The sequence below is a fragment of the Homo sapiens genome, chromosome 2 (assembly GCF_000001405.40).
Source record: "Homo sapiens chromosome 2, GRCh38.p14 Primary Assembly".
NCBI classification, from domain to species: Eukaryota; Metazoa; Chordata; class Mammalia; order Primates; family Hominidae; genus Homo; species Homo sapiens.
The window spans coordinates 232580268-232595165 of record NC_000002.12 but is presented as its reverse complement, the minus strand read 5'-3'; the positions used below and the strand labels follow the sequence as shown (position 1 = coordinate 232595165).

General features: G+C 47.4%; 1 protein-coding gene and 1 long non-coding RNA gene across 6 annotated transcripts in view; one reads left to right on the top strand and one right to left on the bottom strand.

The window, feature by feature from the left end:
• Nucleotides 1-14011, top strand: part of LOC105373929 (uncharacterized) — a 30817-nt gene extending 16806 nt beyond the window's left edge. The window contains exons 4-8 of one of the 2 annotated variants that reach the window (NR_187950.1): nt 4026-4171; nt 8420-9106; nt 10623-10860; nt 13025-13182; nt 13862-14011. This is a non-coding gene — a long non-coding RNA (uncharacterized LOC105373929). Of the gene's footprint in view, nt 1-4025; nt 4172-8419; nt 9107-10622; nt 10861-13024 lie in introns of both variants that reach the window. The other variant, NR_187951.1, reaches the window with a different exon arrangement.
• The window catches only part of EIF4E2 (eukaryotic translation initiation factor 4E family member 2), a 32956-nt gene continuing 29579 nt past the window's right edge, over nt 11522-14898 (bottom strand). For all 4 annotated transcript variants that reach the window (NM_001282958.2, NM_001276336.2, NM_001330203.2 and 1 more), the window contains one exon: nt 11522-14262. Coding sequence is in view for 2 of the 4 variants with exons in the window: in NM_001276336.2 (NP_001263265.1) it covers nt 14223-14262 (40 nt within the window). In the remaining 2 variants the exon portion in view is untranslated. The remainder of the gene's footprint in view (nt 14263-14898) is intronic.

Here is a 14898-nt window from a genome sequence, read left to right as displayed (position 1 = left end):
TCAGCCTCTGGAGTAGCTGGGATTACAGGCACGTGCCACCTACACCCAGCTAATTTTTGTATTTTTAGTAGAGACGGGGTTTCACCATGTTGGCCAGGCTGGTCTCGAGCTCCTGGCTTCAGGTGATCTGCCCACCTTGGCCTCCCAAAGTGCTGGGATTACAGGAGTGAGCCACTGCGCTGGGCCTTGTTCTTAGCACTCCTTAACTTTCCGGCTCTATAAAATGCTCCAGGCTTATCTTATATTTTTCCTGCCCAGCCCTATAATCAGCTCTTTCACCAAGGAGTCTGGTTCCTTGTATTGGATAACTGTATTTAGAAATCAAGATCTAGGGCCAGGTGCGGTGGCTCATGCCTGTAATCCCAGCATGTTGGGAAGCTGAGGTGGGCAGATCACCTGAGCTCAGGAGTTCAAGACCAGCCTGGGTAACATGGCAAAATGCCATCTCTACAAAAAATACAAAAATCAGCCAGGCATGGTGGCATGTGCTTGTAGTTTCAGCTACTTGGGAGGCTGCGGCAGGAGAATCACTTGAGTCCAGGAAGCAGAGGTTGCAGTGAGCCAAAATCACGCCACTGCACTCCAGCCTGGGCGACAGCGAGAGAGACCCCGTCTCAAGATCTGGGTGTAAGGTGTACTCATTGCTACTGGGTGTCACTGCCTCTAGTCTGTCTCAGAGGACAAATCTAGGGAATATGTCTACCTATATTAACCCCCATATACCCACATATCTATATGTCTGTATCTATCTGTGTGTGTGTGTCTATTAAACATGATTGTAGGCTACGTTCTACTCTAATCCAGCATTACATGGTTCATTCTAGTCTCATGCAGTTTTGAAGGCTGTGATGGTGGTAGTTAATGTTGTAGGTTGCTGGGAGGCTACAGTAAACGGCAATTATCCCTGATGACTTCAGAGTCTTTCATCTCCACGTACCCTTGACCTGGCAGGCATTTTGCTGCTTGACACTGGACTCATCAAGATGAGCTGATGTGCTGCCAGAATGACCCTTCTGCGCCCAAGCTCATCCTGGATCCGCCCTGAGGCTGCAAGTGATGTCAACTAAGCAGAAACAGAGCCGGGACTAGGAAATCGGGTCTGGGCTGTTAGCACCTGCACCTGCACTGGGCTGCCCTGTGATTGTTGAGGCACCAGGAAAAGGCTAGGAAGTCCATGTGGTTAGGCCTAAGATGAAATGACAGGGTCTCTTGCATTTAATTCATGCTCCTTACTTCAGTGGAAAGCTTAACAGGGACATAAGTTAGGACAGCAATTTATAACTGCAGCTGACACTGGAATCATGAGTGCCGGGTCCAGACCCTGCCGATTATAAGGCACCATCGGGACTAAGCTGTGCTGAGCTAAGCGATGGTGATGGCGGGCTTTAACCCTGGCTTTGGTCTTCCTTTGAGCTTCAACACATCATCATCCTGGGAGACATCCCGGACCCATACCTCCCTGCCTTCGTGGTTCCTTGGCCTAAAGCATCCGGCCTACCAGCCATCCTCTCCCGTGCTTGTCCTCTGGCCTTTGCCATCACCTGAAGTTGCTTTTTCTGGAATCACTTTCCTTCTAGTCATCTTCTTCTCTGACTCTTATGCTACCTGCTGTTTGCCTCACTAGGGCCCCCAGAACCCCTAACCCTCCCTGTTACACTGCCATAACCTCCCTCACCTGCTGAGGCCCCTTGGCCAATCACTTCAGGTACCGTGACTGGGGCCTTCTCCAGCTTGTGCCCTCTGTCTCCAGCCCACCAGCTCTGCCAATTCCTGAACCTGGGGATCCAGACTGGATTAGTTCCTTCCTGGTTTGAGCCACCAATCCATGCCCTCGGCACTCCCCGAGCATCCTTGTGTGCAGGTGTAGTGGGTTTCCATCTCCCCACCCCCTGCCCTATGGCTCTTTCAAACCTTTAGTCTTCTCTATAAATAGATCCAGGTTTTACAGGAAAGGGCTTTCAAGTATGAGTCAGTCTCCAGAAGCCATAAAAAGAAAGACTGATTCATTCAGATACATAGCAACAAGACTTTGGATGCAAAAACATGTTGGGCAAAACAAGACAAGCTTGGAAAGAACACTTGCAGTGCTGCTGGTCAGTGATTTCAAGGAGAGCAAATAAAATCACCTGACACCCCAGCAGACCAGAGCAAAGGACTGTCCATAGAAGATAATGCTCATTAGACGGAGGACAGAACTAAGCAAATCAGCAATTCATGGCCAGAATCCTCATTCACCCAGTCCAGAGGGACAAGAGACAGTGGAGCTGGACAGGTCATCAGTCCCCACCAGCAGGAGGCAGCTGGAACTCCTCCCACTAGGAGGAGAGGCAAAATGCTTGCATCACCTTCTTGGTACCTGGGCTGCTTATATCCTGGAGGCTCCAAAATAACTTATATAGGCAGCCACTTTAGAGCCAAGCTTGCCTGCAGAACAACAGGTTTTCCTGTTCAGATACAACTCATCTTTGACTCTCTCGCCCACCCTCAGCCACCAGCACGGTAAAGGCCTCATCCTATAACATTGGGTAAGCCATCCGGGACTCCTCATTTGATTGTGTTGGTTCCTGCTCTGGTCAAGCTCATATTACAAACAAAGGGATAATCTCCTTAATATATAAAATACTCCCGTTAGTCAATAAGAAAAAGACCACCAACTCAATAGAAAAATTGTCAAGTTACGAACAGAAAACCCAACACAAATTGTCCTTAAATATATGAAAAGAAACTCAATTTCACTCATAAAAAGAATGACATTGAAATATCATTTTTTACCTATCGGATTAGCACAAATCTAAATTTTATAATATATTCTCTTTGTGGAGCTGAGATAAAACACATGCATTGCTGGTGAGAGCGTAACCTGGGGAGCAATTTGGCAATATTTATCAAATCAAATATCATGTACTCTTTGACCCAGCATATATGTATATATATGAGGAGATTTATTATGGGAATTGGCTCAGGTGATTACGGAGGCTGAGAAGTCCCACCATCTGCCGCCTGCAAGCTGGAGGGCCTGGGAAATGCAGTCTGAGTCTTAAAGCCTGAGAACCAGGATCGAGAACCAGGAGCTCCAGTGTTGGAGGGCAGGAGAAGATGGATATCCCAGCTCAAGAAGACAAAGCAAGTTTGCCCCTACTCTGCCTTTTTGTTCTGTTCAGCTCTTAATGGATGGATGATGCCCACCTACACTGGTGAGGGTGAATCTTCACTTAGTCTATCAACTCCGATCTTCATCTTCTCCAGAAACATCCTCACAGACACACCCAGAAATCGTGTTTTACCAGCTATGTGGTCATTCCTTGGCCCAGTCAAGTTAACACATGAAATTAACCATCACACAGCCCAACAATTCCAGTTCTAGAACTGATCCTACAAATGCAAAATGATGGGTATATATACCAAGCCATTCACTTCTTTCAGCAAAATACTGGAAACAATCGAAATGTTCATGAAATCAGTAGATGGGGCCAGGCACAAAGGGGAACCCCTGTAACCCTAGCTACTTGGGAGACTGAGGTAGGAATATTGCTAGAGCCTGGGAGTTCAATGCTGTCGTGCACGATGGTCATGCCCGTGAATAGCCACTGTACTCCAGCCTGGGCAACATTAGCGAGACCTCAATCTCATCTCTTAAGAAAAATTAGGTTACAAAAAGATGGTACATCCATATACTCTCCCATACAACTTTTAAATCTTTTCTTCTCTTCTTCTTTTTTTTTTGAGACAGAGTTTCTGTCTTGTTGCCCAGGCTGGAGTGCAATGGCGGGACCTTGGCTCACTGCAACCTCTGCCTCCTGGGTTCAAGCGATTCTCCTGCCTCAGTCTCCTGAGTAGCTAGGATTACAGGTGTGCACCATCATGCCCAGCTAATTTTTGTATTTTTTTAGTAGAGATGGGGTTTCACCATGAACAGGCCAGGCTGGTCTCGAACTCCTGACCTAGTGATCTGCCCACCTCGGCCTCCTAAAGTGCTGGGATTACAGGTGTGAGCCACCACGCACGGCTCTTCTCTTCTTTAACAGGACAGAATACATTTCAGCTCCAAAACCAGCATTGTCTTTAATGGGGACTCCTAGAGGCATTCCCACCAAGTTAGGAACAAGACAGCACGCCCACTGTTACCAGCGTAAATCAACAATGTACCGGAGGTGCTAACCCACACAATAAGGTAAGGCAAAGAAAACAGAGATAGGAAAGTTGGAAAGGAGAAAGTAAAACCTTCATAATTTGAAGATAATAAGATTATAAAGCCAGGCATGGTGGCTCGCACCCGTAATCCCAGCTCTTTGGGAGGCTGAGGTGGGAGGATTACGTGAGTGCAGGAGGTTCCAGACCAGCCTGGGCGACATAGTGAGACTTCATCTCTACAAAAAATACAAAATTAGCTGAGTGTGGTGGTGTGCGCTTGTAATCCCAGCTACTCCAGAGGCTGAAGTGGGAGGATCCCTTAAACCCAAGAGGTGGAGACTGCAGTGAGCCAAGGTGCTACCACTGTACTGCAGCCTGGGGGACAGAGCAAGACTATGTTAAAAAAAAAAATACACACACACACACACACACACACACACACACACACACCCCTGGCAAATGCAAGCAAACGATCTGTGAAATGCTACAAATAGCAATAATTTATTAATTATCAGTGAACAAAACTCAATCATAGAGGTCAGTAGCTCTCACATTCCCGCTTTAGGATGATGGGGTACCAGTAAGACCAGGGACCTCCATAAACATGAGCCTGAGGGAAGAACATGTAATTTCCCTCTACCTTCCTAAGTTGATAGCTGGAACAAGCCTTCTGTGACAAAAGATAGATTAACAAGAGAAAAGCCATTTTTATGTTAATGCGCACAGTTTACATCTTGTGGGAGGAGCCTCAGTTCAAAGGTGTAGCTCTCAAGGAAGTGGCTTGAAGCTCTGCCTTAAATAGTATTTTATCAAAAAGCCGTAATTTTTTTTTTTTTTTTTTTTGAGACGGAGTCTCTCTCTGTGGCCCAGGCTGGAGTGCAGTGGCGCGATCTCGGCTCACTGCAAGCTCCGCCTCCCGGGTTCATGCCATTCTCCTGCCTCAGCCTCCCGAGTAGCTGGGACTACAGGCGCCCGCCACCGCACCCGGCTAATTTTTTTGTATTTTTAGTAGAGACGGGGTTTCACTGTATTAGCCAGGATGGTCTCGATCTCCTGACCTCGTGATCCGCCCACCTCAGCCTCCAAAAGTCCTGGGATTACAGGCTTGAGCCACAGCGCCCGGTGAAAAGCCATAAATCTTGGAGTGGTGACACGACAAAGGAGAGTCTTGCGAAGGCAGGAAAACTCTGGGAAGGGAGTAAAGTTAGCTCCCAAATTTCCCTGGTCCCATTGGCACCATCTCTGAGTTGATGAGCAAGTTGTTTGAGGAAATTTTCCATCTCTGGTTTTACACAGGAAAGCTGGAGGGGAGGTAGAAGGATCTCGTCTTTGTGAATTGCTGTCCTGCCATCGGGCAAGCAGAGGGAAAGGCTGAGTGCCCCCCTGCATTTAGCCTTCTTCAGCCCAACAATCACAGTGTTTTATTATTTATTTATTTGTTAATTAATTTGTTAATTAATTTATTCATTTAGAAATGGAGTCTCACTCTGTAGCCCAGGCTGGAGTGCAGTGGCACGATCTTGGCTACTGCAACCTCTGCCTCCTGGGTTCAGGTGATTCTCCTGCCTCAGCCTCCCAAGTAGTTGGGATTACAGGCATGAGCCATCACGCCCGGCTAATTTTTGTATTTTTAGTAGAGCTTGGCTACGTTGGCCAGGCTGGTTTCAAATGTCTGAGCTCAGGTGATCCGCCTGCCTCGGTCTCCCAAAGTGCTGGGATTACAGGTGTGAGCTACCGCGCCTGGCCGGCAGTATTTTAATTAGTTTATTTATGTAGTGTTTTACGCTTATGTAATACTCAGTATTTTAGAGAGAAATATTTAGGTTTCCTTCAAGCCCACTGCTGCACTTCATTTGCTGTGAAATGAGTTCTTCAGCGAGAGGCAGTGCTGGATGGAACAGCACACGATGACTAAGGCATTTTATAAATCTGCTTTTGGCAGGAATTTCTCCGCAGCCAGCATCCATGCCAGGCCTGTTCAGAGATGAGGGAGGTGTGGCCCCTGCCTTCCTGGAACCTATCCCAGCAGCCAGAACAGACAAGGACACCTGCAGTTCCAGTCTCTTGGGCCTAGTGCTGTGGGAAAATAGGAGGTGCCCATGATTAGGGCAGGAGGGGACCAGGGGCTGCCTGGAAGAGGCAATATGTGAAGGGTGGTGGAGGTGGGCAGGGTGAAGGGTGGAGTGAGGGCCTTCTACAGCAGGGAATGAATGGCATGACAGCAGGGGACAAGGATGTATCTGCGGAACCCCGGGAAATCTAGTCAAAACTGATGTGGCAGGGCTTTCAATGAAGAAGCACGTGAGGTCCTTCAACAGTGCCAGGCTCAATGGCGTGAGCACGACATGGGCTGGGGCTGGTGAGGATGTTGCAGGGGGCAGGAGCACATTGATTAGATGTGGGGAAGATACTAGGGATGTGTGTGTGTGAAGTTGTCCAAGGAGGCCAGGGCATAGGTCCAGGGGCAGTAATGAAGGAGGGTCTCTCCAAGATCATAGTCCTGACCTGGGCTGCCCATTAGAACCTCCCAAGAAGCACTGTGCTAAGTTGAGGAGCAGGGTCTCCTCTGAGGGCCACTGGCCATTCTGTCACATAGGAGGGACCAGCCACCTGTCCTCTGTAAAAGGGTCTTGGACATCACTCGGAGATAAAGTGGGAACTGGTCAGGAGACAGAGGTGTGTGTGCGCCTGTGGGTGGGACGGGAGTGAGCTGAGGTGAACCTGCAGCAGAACTGATGACAGCAAAGGAGCCTGGCAGTGAGTCAGCCAGGGTGGCTGGAGCCAGGGCATGGTGGGCACTGCGAGCCAGAGAGCATGGGGTGGGAGGCTGGACCTCCAAACCCTTCCAGGAGCCTGGTGCTGGGTGGTGCCCGGCCAGCCCGGCCACAGATGAGCTCAGCCTCTGCAGGGGCTCTTACCATGTTCTGGAAGCATCCTGATGGGGGTCGGGGGGCTAGGACCCTGCAAAGAGCACACGAGGCCACAGGGCAGGGCTCTGGCTCTTGGGTCAACGTTAACAGTCCTCTTGTCAGGGACAGGAGGAAAGTCACCTGGAGGGGGATGTTGGATTAACCTACCTGCCTTCTTGGGCTCACAGGGGACAAGGCCTTGATGCCCCTCTCTCTGTCCATTCAGGGTCCTGACTGAAAGGGTGGAGGATGGCAGGTAGAAGGTGCTCTGAGCATTCCTCCCCTGCCTCCTCACAGAGACGTCAAGGTAGAGGGCAGGCCCTGGTGTGAAATACTATTGTCTATGTTTAGTACAAGGAAGAGGCTGGGTGAGATGGAGAAAGGGAAGTTTTGCTCTCAGCGTGGGAGTTTTACTTCCCATACAGTTCACGGAGAGGGTCTGACTGGGCCCGCTGGACAAATGTGGAGAGAATAATTTGGGCAGAGCCAGGAATGGCAGCATGTGCCTATAATCCCCGCGACTCAGCAGGCTGATGCCAGAGGATCACTCAAATACAGCCTGCGCTACACACCAAGACCTCACCTTAAATTTTTTTTTTAAATGAGGCCAGGCACAGTGCCTCATGCCTGTATGTAACCCCAGCTTTGGGAGCTTGAGGCAGGAGAATCACTTGAGGCCAGGAGTTCAAGTTCAAGACCAGTCTGGGGAACAATGCAAAACCCCGCCAGGGACCTCCATAAACAATGCAAAAAAAAAAAAAAAAAAAAAAAAAAGGCGGGGGTTGGTGCAGAGGGACTTTAAGGAAGTCTGGTTGTGGAAATAGGGAACAGAGACGCCTGGAACCTACATGCCATGATTTAGGGTAAGGCCAATACTCAGGCCAGGAGGAGGGTGTGGGATTAGGGGAAAGGACAGAAAATGTCACCTTGCTGGCAAATCCCTGTGCCCTCTTGGCCATTCCCAGAGCCCCAGGGGGAGCTGCCTTGCTCATGGCTCTTGATCCTCCTTGGCCAGTGGGGTGGGGCCTCTGATCTACTAGGATCACACTGCAGCAGCAAGAGTCATTTTGGAGCTACCGGCCCTCATCTGTTCCGAAGCCCTCTTTCCCAACAATCAAAATAATGACTTGCAGACTAGGTGAGCTATAATCTATCAGTGTGGCAGGCTTAAGAGCTCTGGAATTCTAAGTCAAGTCCCATCTCTGCCCTTACATGGTGAGTGACTTTCTGTGTTAACCTCTGCCTGTTTCTTCATTTGTGAAATGGGGAACCCACAGGGCTCTTGTGAGATTTAAATGAAATATGCATGTAATTTTAGTGTCTAGCAGTTTTCAATAAATGGTACACTTTACTACATACGATACTACTCTCACCCATAGGCAACATCTCCAGCATGAAGCCCACTGGCCTCATGTCTGTACTTCTGGAGTCCAGGTGAGCAAAGGTCACCTGCCCACTGGACTTGGCCCACATGGACTACACCTGAGCCACCAATCCTCTTGGAGGCCTTCTTGCCTCTATTTGCTGCATTCCTTCTTCTCCCCTTTGGACTGCGAGCTCCTCAAGGGAACAGCCTATAGCTTCCTATTCATCTCCCACTCACCCGACCTGCCACACTGGCCAGCCCACTGGATGGGAGGTAACAGTGTGCTGGACATTCTGAGGGCTGCAGGGGCCTCCTGTGGACCCTGCTCTCTTGCAGGTGACCCATCAGTGCGCTGTACTTCTACAAATTGTTGGAATGGAGACTTTTTTTTTTTTCTAAGTTATTTGAGTCAAAACGATCTTGACGGGAAGCTGTTAGAGGTCTCATGGAAATAGGCCTGGAGGACAGGATTTGGCTGAGGCTTTCAACTGACATCAGACAAGACTGCAATCAAGGGAAAGCAGACCTGGGGCCCACGGGCAATCACATGGGATGAGAAATACCAAAGAATGTGACCATCCAGGTAGCCGGGGGACACAGCTCCAAAAAAGTGAGAGTGGTGCTGGATTAGCTCCATTGGAGGAACTGGAGGTTCCATTGGATGGTGCTGGATTAGTTCCATTGCCGTTTGGCAAACCAGGTAAATAATGCATATTCTATATGTGAATTTGCGTTTCCTGCTTCTCCCAGCATGATCACCCGTGGACTAATGGAATGCCTTATTCACCAGCATGTATTCAATATTGCTTTTAATCAAGAAACAAATTTCACAGCAAAGAAAGTGAGGCAATGGGCTTGTGACCAGGTAATCACAGTCATACCACGTATCTCAGCAGGAGGAAGCAGCTGGACAAACATTAGAGTGAAACGGCCTCGTGAAGACTCCGTTACAGCACCACTTGGGAGACAACTTTTGGGTGCTGCCCCCAAGGTTCTGCTTTGCATGTGTTGTCTCTCCTATAACCAGGATTCACGGGTCCAGGAATCAAGGGATAGAAGTAGGAGTGGTTCCTCTCACCTGTCCCCTCAACTGGAGTTCTACTGGTTTGGAGGGCTTGGTTTTTACAGGAGGAATGCTTCCGGGGAACACAAGACAACAGCTCACTGAATTGTACATTGAGGCTCACCTGCTGTTTTGGGCCCTTCTGGGCACTGAACCAACAAGCAAATAAGGGGTTTACTGACTCGGGTGTATTACCAAGGGGAAACAAATGCTGCTGCATACTAGGGGCAGGGAGAACTGTCTAGAATCCATACTTTTCTGAGGTCCCTCTTACAAATAGCAAAAACGAAAGACTGTAACAAAGGAAGGACAACTAATTCAGACACCCTAGGAATAAAGGTTTGGATCAACCATACCAAAAAAAGAATCCTGACCAGCGGAGATCCTGGGTGAGGGCAAAGGAAATACAGAATAGGCAGTGGAAAAGAAAGTGATACATAACTACAGCCTCATGATCATTACAGATGATACATAATCTTTTTTTTTTTTTTTTTGAGACGAAGTCTCACTCTGTCGCCCAGGCTGGAGTACAGTGGCGCTATCTCAGCTCACTGCAACCTCCTCCTCCTGGGTTCAGACGATTCTCCTGCCTCAGCCTCCTGAGCAGCTGGGACTACTGGCGCGCGCCACCACGCCCACCTAATTTTTGTATTTTTAGTACAGATGGGGGTTTCACCATATTGGCCAGGCTGGTCTCGAACTCCTAACCTCATGATCCACCCACCTCGGCCTCCCAAAGTGCTGGGATTACAGGCGAGAGCCACCGTGCCCGGCTGATGTACATATTCTTGCTTGTTATGTGCACAATTTTCTTCTCTCATTATTTCATGCAATTTTTGCTGGAAGTAAACTTTACCCTTTAGTGTTTAGGTACCATTCTCTTGTTCTGTATTCTATTCAGATGGGATTGAAACTGAATTAGAAGAGTCAACACAGCTCAGAGATTGACAGTGACTGGTGAGCTTTACATGTCCTCATTTTTGAGAGAGGGTAACAGCTTCCAATTAATTACATCTCCTTGGGCACAAAGAATTGCTTTTGTGGTGGGACAGAAGTTCAAAGGTGTAGAAGGCTGTGTGCAGATGCTGAGTGGCTAACAGGGGCTGTGCCAGTTAGGAAGCTCGTCTCTCAGTTCCACACCCGCTCTTTTTAGCTCTGCTTTTGTGATACCAGCGACAGAACTCTGCAAACATCTCTGCTTCGCAGCTGGCATCCTGTTGGATTTTTCCAGTAGAGGGAAGCTTCCATGCTGCAGGAAGAAGGGGCGTGCTCCTTCCCGTTCCTGTCAGCACTGCTGCAGCAGTTTGCTCTCACAGCTGCATGTGATCCCAGCTGCCATTTCTGACCTGCTCAGAACCAGCTTCATGATGGGCTCAAAGACCCAGGACCAGGTGAGCAACACCCATCCTTAGAGCACTTCTGGAAGTTGCTACTTCCTTAATTCTTGTGTGGGTTTTTTGCTTTTTTGGTTACTGTGTCAGTAATTCTTTTTATCATATTGTTGAAATAACTGGAATGGTTTCTGTCTCCTATTTGGACCATGACTGATAGACAGAGAGAGGAGATTTCTATCTACAGAAACTAAGTCTCAAGACTGTATTGTTTTAAATCCTTTGTCAACAATAACTGAGGCTCAGCAAAGCCTCTTTCTCCCTCAGTGTTTCATGTGGGCACCAACCGTCGGCATGCCCCATGTGTCCCTCTTTAGGCTAAGATACTTAATATAACTAAAACATTCCAAGCTTAGGCTGAGTGATTTCTTACAGTAAAATCAAATTCTTTAAACTTTCTTCTATTCCAATATTCCTTATCCCAAGTTAAGGAGCGTTACCAACTATATTTTGATAATAAAAATGTAAACTGAGTTGTGGCAATGATTAATATCAATTAGAGAATATTTTCACAATAAATTTGTGTCATTGAGATTGACATTGCCTGGACTATTCCACATATTTTGTTTTGGAATGCAGTTAAGATTGGGACTTATACACTGTAGGGTAGAATGAGTAACAGTACCCCCGGTTCCCTTGTATTGACAAGTCCACGACCTGGTTCTTGCTGATATTTTCAATTTATTACTGCAGTAGATAATTGCTCTGAAAGTGCAACACTAAATCACTCTTGTCATAGCCTCTGCTCCGTTTCCACTGGCAAATACTTGGAAATTCATTCTTCGAGCATTGTGGACCACAAGCTTCTCTCTGGGTGGAAAATTATTGCCACTGCCAGTATCATAGGGAACACACACACACACACACACACACACGAACAGAAGGATTCAAAAAGCAGACACTGGAGAGGAGTAGGGGCCAATTTCAAACAGAAAACCCAGTAAAGGGCTGGAGAGGAGTAGGGGCCAATTTCAAACAGAAAACCCAGCAAAGGAGTTAGAGGAGAACAGCTCCAACTGTGCAAAGTGGAGACCGACTCTCCACTCTCCAGTGGCAACCTCACATTCTGGTACTGTGCAAAGCGGAGACCGACTCTTCACTCTCCTCACATTCTGGTTACGTTGGCCCTGGTAGACCTTTATCCCTTTGCCTCTGTAACGGTGATACCATAATCATAACCGTGCCACATCTCAGCATATCAGAGGCCCATGGAGTAAAAATAGATGAAAAGACCTCTCAAGCTAGTTTGGAAAAATAGAGGGTTTAGATAAACTGACTATTTAATCTCCTACTTAAACCTGTTAGGCAGAATATCTGGGAGAACACTGGGCGTAAGATGCTGCCTAACAGGCATAACCCCTTGCTCTAACCAGCCTAGGGCCAGTATGTTTTTGATGGAAAAGACAACTGTCAAATACTACAACGACAAAAAGGAAGGGAAAACATGAGCAGCTCTAGAAAACGTAAGATTCAAAACTCTGAACAACAACAACAACAACAACAAAACTATGGACAACACACCTAGCCAGGAGGCCTGACCACTCACTCACTCCTAAGCACACTCTACACATACACACTGACTTTCCCACACACACAACAGTCAGGTAGATGCCCAAAGGAGGGCAAATCCAAATATCTGCTCTCTTTGGAATTTTCACGGCAAATCTGAATTTAGGCAAAAGTGAAGACCTCCCTGGGGTCTTCAAAGACAGCCTTTGCTCTCCATGTAGCCAATGGTGCTCTTATATTTGCCGAGCCCTTCACAACTGTCTGGACACCAGAATGCACTCTTCATATTCCTGGAGTTTAAATCACTGCTAGATCTTCTTATCTGATCTAACTTGCCCTGTAATAGAAGCACCTCCCTTTTGGCCCCTGTACTCCCCGTTCTTTCAGAAAAAAAGCATCCCCAAAACAGTGGTAATTAGAGGGTGTTCAGGAATGGAAAAGTAGGAAGAGTGTAGTACAAATACAATAAGGAAATGCCTGTTACTCTCATATGATTTCTCTGAGACCAGGTGGCCAAGGATCCCCTAGTCTTCCACATATGTTTTAAAGAGAGGCCTTAATTTAAGGTACTGCAGTCTTTGCTCACAAGAGCCAAGTAAGACGGTGCTACTTGGAGGTTGCTATAGGACTCTGACGCTATTTATTTGAATCCTAGGTGCTCTTGTGACTTCTCTGACTTCAGTCCTTCTGGAGTCAGATCACCCAGCTTCTCTGATGAGTGACTGGTCATTTTTAAAGCATGCCTGCAGCAGTCTTCAAGAGGTTTCTGCCTGGGCATCACAATCAGCACACATTTGCTCATACACATACCAGGTGATGAGGACTCAACCACTGCAGACAGGCAGAGCCATGCAAATAAAGCCATCCAGCAAGGTCACCTTTTCCTCAGATGCCCCAGTTTCAGGATGATAGAATTTGCATATTAAGTGTTAATAGGCCTGGCAATAACCAGCTTTTGCTTCCCTTCCTCAATGAGGGACATGCCAGAAACAGACTTGCACACAGGCTCTGCTCATATGGGAAACAGGCCTGACACACAGGGTCTGCTCATATGGGAAAATGATTTCAGTCACAGTCCTTAGCTCCAAATTCTGTACTTGGAACCTAGATTATAATCTAGCTCCTAATCAAACTAGATTCTGCTCCAGTTCAGTTTACTAAGGCATTCCCTCTAAGCTGCCTCAGTGAAACCAGTGAGAGCCACTGGATTACAATTCTAAGTGCAGCTGTGCCTAAGAAGGAGAGAGTCCCACAGGAGAGGAGACCGGAGGGCATAAGGCAGGGGATGATACAAAATCCTGGACAGTCATCACATCAGTAACACAGCTTCAGAAAGTGGTGGGCTTGGAGGAGGGGAGAGAAAGAAACAAAATGTCCCAATAATTTAATGGCAGAGCTAGAAGAGAGCATTTACAGCTATTTTGGGACTCTCCAACAGAACACTTTTCCTGGATGCACAGACATTCATAATACTGGTAACTCTCATCAACAGCTCTGGCATGTACACGTGGCCACGGTACCCTTCGTACAACACGGGAAGAGAACAACAGGACGCCCAAGAGGCATCTGGACAGCACACAGCAAACAGAAAGGCTGAACGCCCCCCCATGGAACCCCATTAAAAAACAATGTTTGTCTATTACAAAGTCACGTTTTCCGTTTTTCCGCTTTATAAAGTCAGCGATGCTGGAGGGTGTCTAGCGGAATCCGTCCTCCAGGAATGAGTGCAAAAGGAGAGCGCACGGCTCAGGGACGTCCCTTCAGTGAGCAATGGAAGGACTGGCTGGAGGCCTCCCATCCATTTCGGACAAACACACACATACAGAAAAGGATTATTGCCAGCTTGTGTACTCTCACAATGTGATTTTTGTATTTCGAAAGCTTGAATTGTCCCTGAAAGAAAAAAATGGGAGAAAATAGAGTGTTCAATACAAGGATCATCTATACAGAAGCACACATATACAGGGGGATGCTGACTCATCAGCCCTCGGGGTCTCCATGACATATCCCGGGGCCTTCTTCACTTGCCAATCTAATGCCAAAACGGCAACCCACCTCCCAAGTCCCTTGCAAAACTTCCAGTCAATTTTTTGCAACAGCAAAAGATTAGAAACAATTCAAATGCCGATCAAGAGAGGACCGGTTAAATATTAATGCTAGGGCACATTCGTAGAAATAAAACAAGGAAGCTCTCTACTACTGTGGAAAGGGTTCCAAGATAAACTGATAGCTTAAGGTGTAGTGTGTACACACGGTATACTACCTTCTGTGTAAATGGGGGTAGGGAAACAAGGTTATAGGTTCATACTTGCTCATATATACATTATGAAACTTTGCAAGGCTACACAGGAAACCAACAACAGTGGTTACATGGGGCAGTGGAGGTGGAAGGGGCACACTAGAAACTGGGCAGATGGAGGAAGCCTGAGAAGGAGATGTTCTCTCTCCCCCCCTTTCTTTTTATCTAACACACACTTTTGAAAACATTGTATGATTCACCTGGTCTTATATGAACAAAAAACCAACCAA